This window comes from Homo sapiens, chromosome 3 (assembly GCF_000001405.40).
Source record: "Homo sapiens chromosome 3, GRCh38.p14 Primary Assembly".
NCBI classification, from domain to species: Eukaryota; Metazoa; Chordata; class Mammalia; order Primates; family Hominidae; genus Homo; species Homo sapiens.
Window position 1 is genome coordinate 158,722,192 of NC_000003.12, and position 15,823 is coordinate 158,738,014.

General features: G+C 48.1%; 1 protein-coding gene and 1 long non-coding RNA gene across 6 annotated transcripts in view, besides 3 other annotated features; one reads left to right on the forward strand and one right to left on the reverse strand.

Annotated features, from left to right (window-relative positions):
• RARRES1 (retinoic acid receptor responder 1) overlaps positions 1–10,266 on the reverse strand; it is a 35,566-nt gene extending 25,300 nt beyond the window's left edge. For all 3 annotated transcript variants that reach the window (XM_005247686.6, NM_206963.2, NM_002888.4), the window contains exon 1: positions 9,949–10,266. In XM_005247686.6, coding sequence (XP_005247743.4) covers positions 9,949–10,224 — 276 coding nt within the window. In that variant the 5' untranslated portion in view covers positions 10,225–10,266. The remainder of the gene's footprint in view (positions 1–9,948) is intronic.
• Positions 7,177–7,355: a silencer, noted in NCBI's record as "fragment chr3:158447157-158447335 (GRCh37/hg19 assembly coordinates)". NCBI's record gives its function as "represses an EF-1alpha promoter that drives an FKBP-Casp9 reporter gene in an ReSE screen in K562 erythroleukemia cells {active_cell/tissue: K562}" and the evidence as "EXISTENCE:reporter gene assay evidence [ECO:0000049][PMID:32094911]".
• Positions 10,081–10,140: a silencer, noted in NCBI's record as "silent region_14848". NCBI's record gives its function as "represses an Ori minimal core promoter by ATAC-STARR-seq in GM12878 lymphoblastoid cells {active_cell/tissue: GM12878}" and the evidence as "EXISTENCE:reporter gene assay evidence [ECO:0000049][PMID:35858748]".
• Positions 10,170–15,823, forward strand: part of LOC100287290 (uncharacterized) — a 52,192-nt gene continuing 46,538 nt past the window's right edge. For all 3 annotated transcript variants that reach the window (NR_171782.1, NR_171781.1, NR_171780.1), the window contains exons 1-2: positions 10,170–10,337; positions 11,760–11,846. This is a non-coding gene — a long non-coding RNA (uncharacterized LOC100287290). The remainder of the gene's footprint in view (positions 10,338–11,759; positions 11,847–15,823) is intronic.
• Positions 10,218–10,718: an enhancer, noted in NCBI's record as "H3K4me1 hESC enhancer chr3:158450198-158450698 (GRCh37/hg19 assembly coordinates)". NCBI's record gives its function as "activates a minimal SCP1, AML or CMV promoter by ChIP-STARR-seq in primed H9 embryonic stem cells {active_cell/tissue: H9 hESC(primed)}" and the evidence as "EXISTENCE:reporter gene assay evidence [ECO:0000049][PMID:30033119]".

Below are 15,823 nucleotides of genomic sequence, written 5' to 3' on the forward strand. Positions count from 1 at the left end.
TAACTACTTTGTTTTATAATGACATTTGTATATGCACCAAGAAGTTAAAACTGTTCATTCTAATAGCACCTCTACAATGTCATGTCCTGTTTTCAGTGAAAGCTGTTTATACTAAACCACAAAGCTTTGTTTTCATGTTAATGGATCAAAGATTTTTCTTCCAGTAGGTGTCTGCACTATCTTTACATTAGGCACTACCCACTTTTTTTGAAATATTGCATAAAATCACCAAAATTGCATAAAGTCAATTTGAAATATTAAAATATTTAAATATTTTCCAATATTTGAAAGATTGGGTAAAGTCATTGAAATATTGGGTGTGTTAGAAATGAACCCAAGGAACTTGATGAGGGACAGAGAATGGGTATTTATGTATTCTAAGAGCACATTTAAAACATCAAACAATCCTGGCCGGGCGCTGTGGCTCATGCCTGTAATCCCAGCACTTTGGGAGGCCGAAGTGGGCGGATCACGAGGTCAGGAGATTGAGATCATCCTGGCTAACATGGTGAAACCCCATCTCTACTAAAAATACAAAAAATTAGCTGGGCGTGGTGGCGGGCGCCTGTAGTCCCAGCTACTTGGGAGGCTGAGGCAGGAGAATGGCCTGAACCCGGGAGGTGGAGCTTGCAGTGAGCCAAGATCGCGCCACTGCACTCCAGCCTGGGCGACAGAGTGAGACTCCATCTCAAAAAAAAAAAAAAAAAATCTAACATCCCCTTTAAACTCTCTCAAAACACCACAAAAACGTGGAGCAAATAAAAGAGCAGGGATGGTGTCCTGGAGAAACCTCGCTGTGCACCACCCCATGGAGGAGTCTCCAAAGACATGATTCTGCCCAAAGCTTCTCTACAGAAAACACTTCCCATTTTTCCCCCTCTCTGCAGTGTCTGTCATTGGTTGCTAAGCGCTGGTCCTTCCTGTTGTGTTAGTGCCGGTTGTGACAACGTTAATTTCCTGTTCTCAGGCTGGCAGTGGGTGGGTGGGGACGAGCTCACAGGTAATTCCAGTCTCCCTCCACGCATCTTGGGACTCACTGGTCTAACAGACTCAGCTCCTAAATGTCGCCTCCAGCATTCACATTTGATAAGAAAACATAAATGTCAGGCTATTCCAGTAAAAGCAAACTTCGTCATTTTATAAGGTTACTTTTATGAGTCAGGCTTGGTTGGAGATAAGTAAACAACTCATTTGTGCATAGAAATTGCTGTGCTATCCTTATGTTCCAGATGGAGACAGCATCAGTATATTATATTATACCCTGGAATCATTTTATTGCATTTTCCTTCTCTCGGGCAAGGCCAGATAAAGCAAATACAGTTTATGGAACAGAAGTCAGTTACCTTCTGATCAGGCCCAGGCAGTGGGGCCCAAGGAGCTCTTTGCGTGCGAATGCTTTGCTTTCTCAGGCTAAGTAGCAATGGAGAGGAAAGCCAGAATACTGTGTGTCCTCTCTCTCAGCCAACCCTGGGTCCCACGTTCTTGATTTGGGGTAGGAAGCGAGTGGAAGTGGCCAGAGGCAGCTGCCCCCTCCAGGTCCCCTCTGGCCTCAGGTGGGGATAATCAGAAAAGGCTGGTTGAGAGCAGGACATGAGGCTTCAGGTCTCCTTTTCTCCTGCTGGGAGCAATGGGAATGGGCTGGGTCCTGGCCTGTCTCCCTGTTCCAGGTGCCTCAGTGATTTCAGCACCCTTCCAGCTACCTTCATTTAATTTAACAAATATCTAATATTTGTCTCTAGCAGGCCATGTGCTAGTGCAATGAAGGAGATAGAGACATGATATAATACCTTGCGCCCTGTAGAAGCTGACCGTCTCGTTTGGGATAGGCAAGCACATGGGCAGAGTGGAAAGAAAATTGGCTGTTCAGGAGCTTTGACAAAGCAGCCTATGGTCGAGTACTGAGCTAGAGAGGAGAGGGCAGGTGGGTTCACATGTGAGGTTAGCAAGGCTGCAGAGGTCAGCAAGACAGGAGGTGGGAGCAAGAGCTGCATTTTCTGGGTACCGGCATATGTCGGGCAGAATGGTAAATATTTGCAGGAGCTCACAGCCAGCCTGGACACGGGGTGTGGTAGGCTGAATAATGCCCCCCCACAGCCCTTGCCCGAAGATGTCCACTGCCTAATCCCTGGCATCTGTGACTATGTTATTTTACATGGCAAAAAGGATTTTGCCAATGTGATTAAGGATCTTGAGATGGGATTATCCTGGATTATTCCTGTGGGCACAATGTAATCACAAGGGTCCTATGAGAAGCAGACAGTAGTGTCATAATCAGAAGATGCTATGCTGTTTGCTTTGATGGAGGATGGAGTCATGAGCCAAGGAGCACAGGTGGTCTCTAGAAGCCGGAAATGGATTCTCCTCTAGAGCCTCCAGAAGGAACAAAGCCCTGCAGACACCTTAATTTTGGCCCAGGGAGACCCATTTCAGGCTTCTACCCTCCAGAACCATAAGTGAGTAAGTTTGTGTTGTTTTAACTCACTAAATCTGAGGTCATTTGTTATAGCAGCAATAGGACACAATACCAATACAGAATTACTGTGATCCTTAATGTCATGTTCTGTGTGGGCATGTGCCCTTGGGATGACCACGGATCACATACATCCTATACACAGCCATGGTACAAGACTCCCTTTCTTTTTTTTTTTTTTCCAGACAGGGTCTCACTATGTTAGCCCAGTCTGGAAGGCAGTGGTGCAATCAGGGCTCACTGCAGCCTCAACTTTCCCAGGGTCAGGTGATCCTCCCACCTCAGCCTTCCAAGTAGCTGGGACTACAAGTACGTGCCACCACATGTGGCTAACTTATTTTTTGTAGAGATGGGGTCTCATCACGTTGCCCAGGCTGGTCTTGAACTCCTGGGCTCAAGCAGTCCTCCAACCTCGGCCTCCCAAAGTGCTGGGATTACAGGTGTGAGCCAACATGCCCGGCGAAGATTTCCTTTTGTAATTTGATTTTTCTGGCTAGGGACATCCTGAACAACCATAGCAAGTCAGCCAGAGTGGATTTGTTATGGCTACTGTCTCCAGCCACTGTGGGACTATCTCTGTGAAACATTCTTCAACTGAGGCACCATCCAAAAAGGCAAATAAATGCCGAGGTCACATAAGTGTCATACATCTCTGGGGCGATACACTGCTTAACAGCAAGTGAGATCAAGTTTCAGGTTGGATTTGGGCGAGTGTGTGTGTATGTATAACCTTCCATGCCTCACAATGTCAGTCGTTGTGGGCTGATTATTTACATGCAGTCTCCAGCAGAACAACCTAGGTCCTTAAAGGATGAGTCTGCAGCCAAGCCAGACTTCTGGCAGTTAACAGTCATGACCCACCACTGCCGGTCTTGATGTGGGACATTACTAATGCTCTGTGATTACATGCATCCTTGGCTATGACTCCACATGTGGAAAGCCAAGTGGAAAATGTCGTGGGCTGGTAAAAAAAAAATTGTGGTTTAAAAACAATTTATTATAAAATGGTAAAAAAAACATTCCTACTGGCTAGCTCATCCGGGTGTAGTTAGCTTAGGAGATTGAGGCAAAGTGCCAAGGAGGTCAAAGTCAAAGCTTTAACCCCGGGACCTAGTGGCCTTTCTCACCCCATGCTAGACCCAGACTCTGCGATCAGAGTCTGCAGACCGGATGGCTGCTGTGGTGGGTGATGGGGTGGAGACCGTAGGCACATCTGTGCTATTTCAGCACAAACATTGCCTGGAAGGAGAGATTCCTGCCTGTCTCTTCTGTGCTTTCAGAATTGTTATGTTTCATCCTTAGGGCAGTGTGAGGGCACTGAAGAGATCCTAGTTTATCTTGCAAATATCCCCCTCCCTGCTGTTCTTTCCTAATGCCTATAAAAGCCCTTAGGAGCTTTCCTTACATGAAAATTAAGACTAGTTCACTTGAGTATTTTATTACTTATCTTCTCCCTTAGTTCACTTGAGTATTTTATTACTTATCTTCTCCCTCTATGTTCATTGCAGCCTTTTTAATTCTCCAGTTTTTGTTTCAATGGACAATTTAATGTTTTGCTTTCCTAGTCTCCTGAATCACCTCAAAATTATTGACATTAATGGAGAGAAGACCTCAAGAGCAGTAATTAAATTATGTTGTATTAATGTGCTTTATAGATTGAGAAATCACAAAGGAATAAAGGTTTTCATAGTAGAGTAAGTGCTCTCCTAACTGCCTTGTGGCCTAGTGGACAGGGCTCCATGCTTGCTGTCAGACCCACGGTGGACTGAACCCCCGAGCACGGGCTCCTGCCTAGTGGCCTATATGGGCCTGGCCTGATGCTTACCCAAAGCCAGCTGCTTTGCTCCCAAACTTGCATATATCAGATGTACTTAGTACCTCATTACATAAGTAAATATTCTGTAAACTGGTGAAGAGCGGGTACAAACAAAGATGTCATGTCCATGAAGTCAAGTTAAATGCTTTAGAAATTTAGCTGTTGAATTGGTGTTAATAAGCTGAGATTAGGCAAGGAAAAGTAAAAGCAGAGGGTTGTTCAGCATATTCTTTGAGAGCTCATTCCACCATAAGTAAACAAAAATGGAAACCACAAACGATTCCCCATGGGTGTGTTTTCTTGCTAGAAAGACTGTGATATGATTTGGATGTTTGTCCTCTTCAAATCTCATGTTGAAATGTGCTTTCCAATTTGGAGATGAGGGGGCCCTGGTGGGAGGTGACTGGATTATGGAGGTGGGTCCTTCATGAATGGTTTGGCACCCTCCCCTTGGTGATACGTGAATTCTTGCTCTGAGATCTGGTTGTTTGAGGGTGTGGCAGCTCCCCACTTGCTCTCTTGCTCCCGTTCTTGCCATGTGACATGCTGGCTCCCTGTTGCCCTCTGCCATGATTGTAAGCTCCTTGAGGCCTCTCCAGAAGCGGATGCCAGCACCACACTTCCTGGGGAGCCTGCAAAACCATGAGCCAATCAAAGCTCTTTTCTTTATAAATTACCCAGTCTCAGATATTCCTTTATAACAATGTAAGAAATGACCAGTGCAGACTGGAAGGAGCTCCAGTTAAATGGCCTTGGCCCTATATCAAAAGATAGATGATAAATGTACACTTACAGATTTTATTTTAAATAGAAGCAATTAAGATATGGGCATAGCTCCCCTCTCCCCATATGCTTTGATCAAGTGTTTAAAGTATGTTTCCAACCACTGGTCTTGGCCTGGTCAGAGGGTGTTTTGTTTAAGTGGCCAATTCCTAAACAATAGTGGATTCCAGAATGGGTTGACTTTCTTACAGAGTGTGTGCACTTGAAGATTTCAGCTAGTCTCTCAAAATGTTAGTAAAAGGCCGGCCTCTCACCAAATGCTCCACGCAGAGCCAGTGGTCCCAGAACTTGCTGAGTGGCAAGAGGAGACTTGTCTTCAAGTAAGGGACAGCCTTGAATAGTCAGGAGCGGGGCAAACATTGTGGGGATGATCCAGGAAACCCTGGGAAGCATAAGATCGCTCAGCACCATCCAAAATCTCCCACCACTCCAACTGTGGGTCCTGAGCCTATGCCATGTAATACTAGAAAAGTAAAAGCCTCATTGGTTATGGAAAGGTAGTGTAAGGCCAGGTAAGAAAGGCATCAGGTGGGGGCAGTGAGGGAACACAAATCGTGGTCTGTGATTTCGCCTACAATTAGCAACAAAACAAAACAACACTTCCTCCACTCCACTCCACCCACCTCCAGCTAGCACTTAGTTCTTCCTTGAATTTACTACCACAGCTATTGCTGCATTTCACCACCAGAGGGCAACAGTATTTTTAAAATGAAAGATAACTTGACGCGCCAACAGCTCACAGAATCAAAGAATTTCAGCGCGAGAAGAGGTCTTAAACATCATTTAGTCTAAAGGCTTTCAAAACTTTTTAAAGCTGCAGCCCACAGCAAGAACTGAATTTCTCATTATGACCTAGGTCATACATATATATCTGAAACACATTTGGAGACACTACTTACCCTTGCTTTCGCAATACACTCTAATCGTTTGTAGTCTATACTATTTCGTTTAAAAAAAAAAAAAACCGGATCCCACACTAAATTGGCTTTATAACCCTAGTGAGCCCTTAGTTTGAAAAACCCTGACTTCATCTCAGCCTCTCATCTTACAAAGGAATGCAGTGACCCCTAGAATTGGGAGGGATACCCATGAACTACACTTCTCTTCCTTACCTGGCTACCTGCTCGCCCCTCAGGGTCAGTTCTGGATGGATGATAGACATTGTGCAGCAGCTGAGCACTCAGTCCAACAATGCACTGGTTGGGTAGAGTGCAAACCTGAGTTTGGAGGGATCAATCGTGGTTTCTTTTTCTTTCTTTTTTTTTTTTTTTTTTGGTTTTTGAGACAGATTCTCGCTCTGTCACCCAGGCTGGAGTGCAGTGGCATGATCTTTGCTCACTGCAACCTCTGCCTCCCGGGTTCAAGTGATTCTCATGCCTCAGCCTCCTGTGTAGCTGGGATTATAGACACGCACCACCATGCCTGGCTAATTTTTGTACTTTTAGTAGAGATGGGGTTTCACCATGTTGGCCAGGCTGGTCTTGAACTCCTGACCTCAAGTGATCTGCTTGCCTCAACCTCCCAAAGTGCTGGGATTACAGGCGAGAGCCACTGCGCCTGGCCCATGTTTTACTTCTCCCCAGTGCTATGACTGCTCTTATAATGGAGGCAGGAATTTCTTATGACTACACTGAAAGCTCCATGTAGGTGTGTCTACACTCTTCACTCAGGCAGTGGAGTGCTTCAAAACTGAGGGAATCTCAAAGAGGCCTTCCCTAATGACCCTATGCTAAATATGAATTAGGCCACACTTCTAGCCCAGTTCCTGGCACAGAGTAAGCATTCAATACATAGCTAATGGATGAACAGACTACCCCTGAACTCACATTTTTATACTTTCTAATTGGCACTCATATCTTATATGACTCCTTAGACCACCTGACATTGTTGGCAGAACATGAATTATTTCCATTCCAAACAGGGAAATAGCCAGAAAAGACTTAAATAACCTTTCCCAAAGCCATTGGACTAAATGATGTTTAAGACCTCTTTAAGATTTATGTAACTTATATAAAATTCCCAGCCCCTGCATCCTCACTGGAGCAATGCAGGGGCTGGGAATTTTTACTTTATTCACTCGGGTTTTGAGAGCTAGTTTGATTATTTTATGAAGGATGTCAAATATCTTATTTTATTTTCAAGGGGGTGACTAAGTGCATGATAATGCAAGTTATTTTATTATTCCTTTATTTATTTATTTATTTATTTGAGACGGAGTCTCGCTCTGTTGCCCAGGCTGGAGTGCAGTGGCACCATCTTGGCTCACTGCAACCTCTGCCTCCCGGGTTCAAGCAATTCTCTATCTCAGCCTCCCGAGTAGCTGGGATTACAGGTGCCTGCCACCATGCCCGGCTAATTTCTTTTTGTATTTTTAGTAGAGAAGGGGTTTCACTATCTTGGCCAGGCTGGTCTTGAACTCCTGACCTTGTAATCTGCCCACCTCGGCCTCCCAAAGTGCTGAGATTACAGGCGTGAGCCACCGCGCCCAGCCTATTATTCCTTTTTAAAATGGTTTGGAAGGGGAAAAAAAATCTCTGGGATTGAAAACTGGTGTACCTTAGAAATCTGAGTGAGCTTGGTTTTCTGCAGGGAATCCTGCCCCTGGTAACCAGGGAGCAAATCCTTAGACGCCCCTTCTTTAGGCTCTGGGCATTGGCTACTACTCTTCTACCTTGATAGAAAGTTCTCAAGGTCCGTTATCTCACTGCTCTGTTGGACTAGGAAAACTGAACTTTTTTGTATCTCAGACAGCAAGGATTGTTAAGACAGGTGACAAGATGGCCCGGCACGGTGGCTCATGCCTGTAATCCCAGCACTTTGGGAGACCCAGGCGGCCAGATCACGAGGTCAGGAGTTCGAGAACAGCCTGCCCAACATGGTGAAACCCTGTCTCTACTAGAAATAGAAAACTTAGCCAGGCGTGGTGGCACGTGCCTGTAATCCCAGCTACTCAGGAGGCTGAGGCAGGAGAATCGCTTGAACCTGGTAGGCGGAGGTTGCAGTAAGCCGAGATCGCAGCGCTGCACTCCAGCCTGGGCAACAGAGCAAGACTCTGTCTCAAAAAAAAAAAAAAAAAAACAAAGACAGGTGACAAGAATAGGTTGCTCCTTCCTTCCTTCCTTCCTTCCTTCCTTCCTTCCTTCCTTCCTTCCTTCCTCTCTCTCTTTCTCTCTCTTTTTTTTCCCCATAGGGTCTCACTCTGTTGCCTAGGCTGGAGGGCAGTGGCACATTCTCTGCTCACTGCAACCTCCAGGTCCTGGGGTCCTGGGCTCAAGCAATCCTCCCATCTCAGCCTCCTGAGTAGCTGGGACCACAGGCCCACGCCACCACATCGGCTAATTTTTTTTTAATTTTTAATTTTTTTTATTTTTGGCAGAGATGGTACTTTGCCATGTTACCCAGACTGGTCTACAACTCCTGAGCTCAAGCGATTTGCCCACCTCGGCCTCCCAAAGTGCTGAGATTACAGGCGTGAGCCACCATGCCCCAGCAGGTTGCCTTTTTCTTTATTATTTTATTTTATTTTATTTATTTTATTTTGAGAGGGAGTTTTGCTCTTGTTACCCAGGCTGGAGTGCAGTGGCGCAATCTCGGCTCACCGCAACCTCCGCCTCCCAAGTTCAAGCGATTCTCCTGCCTCAGCCTCCCAAGTAGCTGGGATTACAGGCATGCGCCACCACACCCAGCTAATTTTGTATTTTTAGTAGAGACAGGGTTTCTCCATGTTGGTCAGGCTGGTCTCGAACTCCCGACCTCAGGTGATCCACCTGTCTCGGCCTCCCAAAGTGCTGGGATTACAGGCGTGAGCCACCGTGCCTGGCCAGGTTGCCTTTTTCTAGGAACAATTTGATTTAATCATTCAATAAATACAGCCGTGCCGGGTACAGGAATAAGTTTTGAAGAACCGAGGCTGAGCTTCTTGAAGGACTTTCCAATGGTGTTTGCTTCCAGGCGTTTGGCACTGTTAAATGAAAATCCTGCTGCTACACTTTAAAACTCGACCTATTTATTAAATACATGCGATACTCAATTCCAGATTCTTTGAGGCCGTGTGTCTGCAGGCTTTGTGGAATATCTGGAGGTTGTAGAAGGAGCAACTTTGCTTTTGGGACAGACTTAGTGTAGTTCTGTAACTTTTGTAATCTATAGGATGAAGAACGCAAAGTAGCTTCACACATACGAGACAATTCCTACAGTCAATGCCTTGAAATCAGCAACCAAACAACGGGTTGCAAAGTTCTCATTCATTCGGTTCATATAGAACACTGGGCTCGGATTCACTCACTTCTAATTAGATCAAATCAGACGCCAGCATTAGCAGGTTTCTGCCCAGGCCTACGTGTAAATTCCAACCACATTACCCCGAAGCCCTAGCGTGGTGGACTGCAATTAACAAGAGACAGTCGTCCGCGGTATGGTATGGCTACTGGCTTAGATTTTGGAAATCCCGCCCAAAACTTTGGCTGCAGCCACTAGTAGGGCGCAGGCACAGTAAGCACCCCCATAGCAACCAACTCTGGGTACCTCCGGACAAAATTAAATGTTGCCCTTTCAGCCTGTTCCTCAATTTCCCAAAGCATCTCTTTCCCAGGTGTGGGAGCAGTCAAGAGCGCTGCCCTGTGAAAAACCTATGACCTCATAAATGCTGGAAGGAACGAGCCAGATTTCTGCAGACGCTGTGCACCGAAGGGGCCCCTTCCACGCCCTGGGATACTTCAGGGGCGCCAGGCCCAGCTGGGATCTCCCCGGGCGTCGTGCGCACTGCACCTTCCCTGGCGGACCATCCGTTGGGCCGGCAGGCGCGCGTACCCAGGTGTCACCTCCCAGCGCCGTGCGCGGACAGGCAGGCGCGTGCCCCGGCGCGTCGCTCCGCACTCACCCACGCGCGGCCCTCCTGCACCTCGGCCAGCACTCGTAGCGCGCTGGGCGAGCCGGACCGGAAGTTGAAGAAGTGAAGCGCCGCGCGCGCCGCCTGCTGCAGGAGCCTGCGCGGGACCCCAGCATCCTGAGGCTGCCCAGGGTCGTCGGGGTCCCCGGACCCCGCGGGCGCCGCCACCGGGGCGAGCAACAGCAGCAGCGCGAGCAGCGGGGCGGTGGGGCGCGGGCCCCTGGGCCCGGACCAGGGAGCAGGCAGCCGTTGCCGGCGGGGCTGCATGGACGCAGGAAAGTTGGCTCGGCACCCGACAGACACGGGCTCGGAGCGGGCAGTGCCGGCGCTCGCGGAAATAAGGCCGTGGTGGGCCCCTCCCCTCCGCCCCCAGGGCGAAGGTCTGTAGCGAGCCCGGGTCCCCATGGGGCCACTCCTTTTCCACGTTTCCCGCAGCCCCTGGGTTCTCTCTGCCCCTCCCCGCTGCCCGGGCTTAGTGCTAGGATGCGGCATCGCCTCCGCAGCGCAGGGCCGGGTGCTTCTGGCCCAGGCCGCGGCGGGAGAGGGTCGGGGTTGGGGGGACAATGGGGACGCCTCCCCGAGGAATCGCGGCCCGCCCGTGCTACCTCGTACCGCGTCCCTAGCCCAGCTCAGGGACTTGGCGTTTCCCCTGCGGTTTCGCAACCCTGGGGTTTTAGAGGGAAACTGCTTGGATTCTCCAAGCATTAGGGCTGTGATTTCCCAGCAGGTGAAAGGGGACGGCGGAGAAAGGGGCAGGCCGCAGCGGGCATTGATGGGGCTCCTCGTGGCACAGCCACTGTGGAGGTGGGAGAAGTCGCCAGAGGGCTGGGGCTGGGGAGGAGGTGAAGGTGGATGCCGGCAGGGAGCCCGGGACGCCGGAGCCAGGGGCTGGGGACGGGCCTGAACACCTGCCGGTCCTGCCCAGAAGAGGCGCCGAGGAGGGAGGAGTGGGCAGCAAGGCAGGGTAAGATAAGGCCTGAGAGTCCCATTTGTCTCAGAAGCAAGTAGGTCATTGATACATTGATAACCACTGTGCGAGGCAGATTTAAAGGCCGGGGATGGAAGTCGGATTCCAGCGGGGTGAGGCATGGATGGGGCTTCAGGGAATGGAGGCAGCAAGTGTTGGCAACTCTTTTTTTTTTTTTTTTTTTTGAGACCATGTCTTGCTCTGTCTCCCAGGCTGGAGTGCAGTGGCACGATCTTGGCTCACTGCAACCTCCGCCTCCCAGGTTCAAGCAATTCTACCTCAGCCTCCCGAGTAGCTGGGACTACAGCCACCATGCCCGGCTAATTTTTGTATTTTTAGTAAAGACGGGGTTTCACCATGTTGGTCAGGCTGGTCTCAAACTCCTGACCTCGTGAGCCGCCCGCCTGGGCCTCCCAAAGTGCTGGGATTACAGGCGTGAGCCACGGTACCCGGCGGCAACTCTTTTTAGACAGGTGGCAGTGAAGGGCTAAGATAGCCATTGTTTTTAAACCGTAGGCAAGAGAAAAAGTCCTGGAGAACCAGGGCTGAGAGAGGAGAACTGGTACTGCTAGGCACTCCCAACATCCATTTCTCCATCCTGCATTTTGTTCAGGGGTCTACCCCTGCACCAAACGTGGACCCCAGTGCCATTGTGGGGCTAAAGGAAATCTCTTTTTGCCAGTGGGTGGTTGAGAGTGGGCATGTGCCAGTTCTGCATGGTGAGCAAAGCCTGTGGGTTGATGGGCGTGGTGCCATCTCTGGAAAGATCCTGTCTTACTGCACTTCTTCCTCTGGCTGTTGTCTGTCCCTTGTCTGTCTTTCCTTCCTTCTGCAGATAATTGTGAAACACCTGTGCCAGGCCCTGGGGGAATGAGGGTGAACAATCTTAAACATCTCTGCCTTCCTGGAGCACACCTTCTAGGCAAGTGGGGCCCGGACACTCAGTGAGGCCAAGGGAATGTGTGCTATATTGGATGAAGTTACATGCCAGGGAGAAAAATTAAGCCAGAAAAAGAAATGGGGAGTTGGGAGGTGGTTAATCTTAAAAGGTGTGGTCAGGGCAGGCCTCTCTCGGGAGGTAATATTTGGGTGAGGACCTGAAGGAGGCAGAGCCAAGTGGACATGTATGCAAAAGCACTGTAGGCAGAGGGAACGCAAGTGCAGAGGCTAGGGCAGGAGCCTATCTGGCATGTTTGAAGAAAAGCAAGAAAATCCAGCTGGAGGGAGAAGCCAAGGGGGAGAGTGCAGGCCCTCGATAGGCCCCAGTTAGGTCTGGCTGTGCTGCCCAGAAGCATGCCTCTGTCTTGCTGGCTGCCTGAGAATGAAGCCCATTTCAAGAGTGGCAGAGCAGAGAGAGGGGAGGGCCCTGGGTTCCTGATGGCATTGTTGAACACAGGAATCAGCGGATCCTGGAGTTTATTTCTTATTATTTCACTTCCCTGAAGCTGGAGTTGCTGTTTCTTGCCCTCAGAGGCAAGCCTAGCACAGGTAATCACCTCCCAGAACCCAGTCATCTCCCCATAGTTTGTTTTGTGCTGCAATAATAGAATACCTGAGACTGGGTAATTTATAAAGAACAGATATCTGTTTCTCACAGTTCTGGAGGTTGGAAGTCCAAGATCCAGGCACCAACAGGCTTGGTGTCTGGTGGGGTCTTAGCTCTGTCTCTGCTTCCAAAATGGGGCTTTGCGTGCTTCATCCTATGAAGGGGAGGAACGCTGTGTCCTCACATGCTGGAAGAGTGAGAGAGTACCCACTCTTATGACCTAAACACCTCACTCTAGGCCCCACCTCCCAACATTCTTGCACTGGGAATTGAGTTTCAACATGAATTTTGGAGGGGACAAAAACACCCAAACTATAGCACCCTCCAAGAGGTTATAGTAGCAGGCTTTTTGAGAATTGATCACTTCCAGGTGATTTTACTTCAGTGCTTTGTTCCCTGTGAGTATGTTAGATTGCTTTCAACTGTATGTAATGGAAAACCCGATTAACAGTGTGGACCATTTATTGGTTTGGAGTGGGAGATCTCAGTGAGTTTCTGAAAGACCCAGGCTCTCTCCATCCTTCTGCACAGCCATCCTCAGCTGGTTGGCTTTTTGTCCATGCACTTGTAGTTTCCTGGTTATAGAATGGCTGCCACAGCTCCAGACAGCACATCTTCACATGCTGCAGCCAAAGGCAGGTAGCAGGGAATAGGTTGCCAGAGTGGAAAGAGAGCTGGACATTGTGCACCTGTTTGTTTTTTGCATCAGGAAGAAATATCTTTTCCAGAACCTCCTGCCTACACCTTTCTTCCCCCCAAGACCTTCCTTTATACCTCCTCAGCCAGATCTGGGTTACACTGGCAAAGCCTAGCTGCAAGGGAGGCTGGCAAACTGAGTGTCTGTCGTTTTTCAGAGTCAATGGTCTGGTCTGTAAACTAGGATTAAATTTAACTGCATGGAATAAACACCCGAATGACATTGGCTTAAACAGGAGAGGAACTTATTTCTCAAAAGAAGTTGTGGGGTAATGGTGGGATGGTAGACAATCTGCGGTTGGTATTGGCAGATCCATGAGGTTGTTAGAGGTCCAGGCCTTTTCCAGATCTCTGCTCCCACATCCTGAGGATGTACCCCTTGCCCTCAGGGTCCACGATGGACACTAGCCATCAGCAGGACTCCCTTTATGGATTTCCTAGAAGTCTCACAGGGCACTTGTGCCCTGTATCTTATTGGCAAGAACTTGGTTGCAAAGGAAGCTGGGAAATGTAGTTTTTATTCACGGTGGCCATATGCCAAAATAAAACTCAGGATTTTGTTACTGAGGAAGAAGATTGTGTCTTACGTTGGGTTTCCTAGAAGCAGGCCCAGAAACAAAGATTGTTCCTAAAAGAAATGCTCCGAGCAGAATTCAGTAAGGAGCTAGAAGAAGGATAGCCATGCAAGGATCTCAGACAGTTATATGACAGGTAGGTTCAGCCTGACCTGAAGGGGAGCTCTCAACTGTAAACAATGCCTCTGAGATGTCCCTGCCCCAGGCAGGGTATCTGGGCTTCCATTCTTCTATGCCTGTCAGCCACTGGCTAAGAGCCACCCTCGTTGATAACCCAGGTACTTCAGTCTTTCTATAGGTGGGCACAAAAGGGCAGTAGCACAAGAACAGCCCTCCCAGAAGAGCTGCAGGAGCCTTAGGTCAGAAGCAAAAGCATGCCAAGTGGAAGGGGCAGACTCAGAGAAAGGGATCTGGGAATCTGCAGAGCCCCAGTGGGGTCCCTGCAGGGATAATGCCTAGTGGGAAGGAAGTAGCCACCTCTGTCACTGAGGCGAGGAGGGGAAGGGTGGGAATGGCTGATAGTGGCCAACAGGCAGCCTGTGCAGCGTGTGTGCAGTTCCTGCCTATGAGATGAGATGGTGAGAATCATGGAAAGTCATAAGCAAGAGGGAAGACAGAAAAGACCAGGAGACCAAGTGCTGCTGTGTGAGCTCAGGGCACTCTTCCGAGGTTAGCTATTTTAAATAGTGATAACAGTTACAATGGGGGCAAATTGATGCTGATCAGCAATGCATGTAGACATTTAATTATAGTATTTATTTTATAAACAGGGATTTTCTGGAACACAGAGTATTTCCTTTGCAAGAACTGTCCATATTCTTTGTCCACTTACCTGTGGGGTGGTTGGATTTCTGGTTGATTTGTAGAAGCTCTTTCAATACGAGGGAAATCAGGCCTTGGTCTGTCATGGGTATCCCTGTGTTTTTTCTCAGTTCATAGACAGATTTTGTGTGTACACAGATTCTTCTTCCTTGCCACATACTGTGTGGGGGAGTGACATTGCTAACTGTCCACCACGTTCTCCAAAAGACCTGTCATCATATCCCACCCCTGGCCCAGGGCTGCTGGAAGACTGTGCCACATAGGAGGTGAGGAAAGTATCAGCCAGCAGGTTCTGCCCCAGCCTCTGCACAGAAGCAGATGTGTCCCCACAAGGGTGTCCTGATATGTCATGTTCCCTAGTTCCTTAGTCATTGCTCAGGTTATCATGAGCATTTTAGAGAACTTACTTTGTGTTTAAGAAACCTAATGGTATATAAAGCTATAATGACTTTTAATCATATGAAAAGATAGTACAGACGGTGAGAGGGGAAACTGACATGACCTGTTTGGTGGACAATTTGCAATATCTATTGAAATTAGAAATGCACATGGCTCTGACCCAGCAATTCCACCTTGAGAGTTTATAATAACAATACATTCACACATGTACATAAAGAAGTATGTGCAAGGATGTTCATTTCCACATATGGATTGTAAACTCCTCCACGGCAGTGACACTGAATGTCTCATTTTCTACTCTCTATTCCCTAGAACAGTGACTGGCACACAATAGACACGAATACAGATTTTTTTTTTTAAACAATGAAGAGTTAAGGGCTGGGAAAACACCTGTGTTTCATGGTTGACTAATTATAGTACCTCCATAGAATGGAATATTGTACAGTCATGAAGAAGAGGTAGATTGAGGTGTGTGTGATACTGAACCATCTCTAAGGTATAATGTTGTTAACAGCAAGGTGTAGAGTAGGGCAAGTAGTATGCTGCTATTTGTTTAAAAAGAAAAAAATAACATACATAAATGTGGAAATATGCAAAAACTGTCTCTGCAAAGGTTTATAAGAATTGCCAATATAGGATGAGAGAGAAACTCTTCACCATTGGCTCTCTTTTGTGGTGGTTGCTTTTTTCATGTGTGTATAATGTATATTGTCTATTCTAAATAAGTAAATAAATGAGGTGCTGTTTCCGAATGCGCTTCAATCAGTTTCTCCTCCGGTAGGGAAGACCGCCACAGGAGCTTTACAGTGCTGTCGTTCTGCGTAGCCAGAGCCTGCCTGCCTTGCTTGCTTGTTGTGTAGT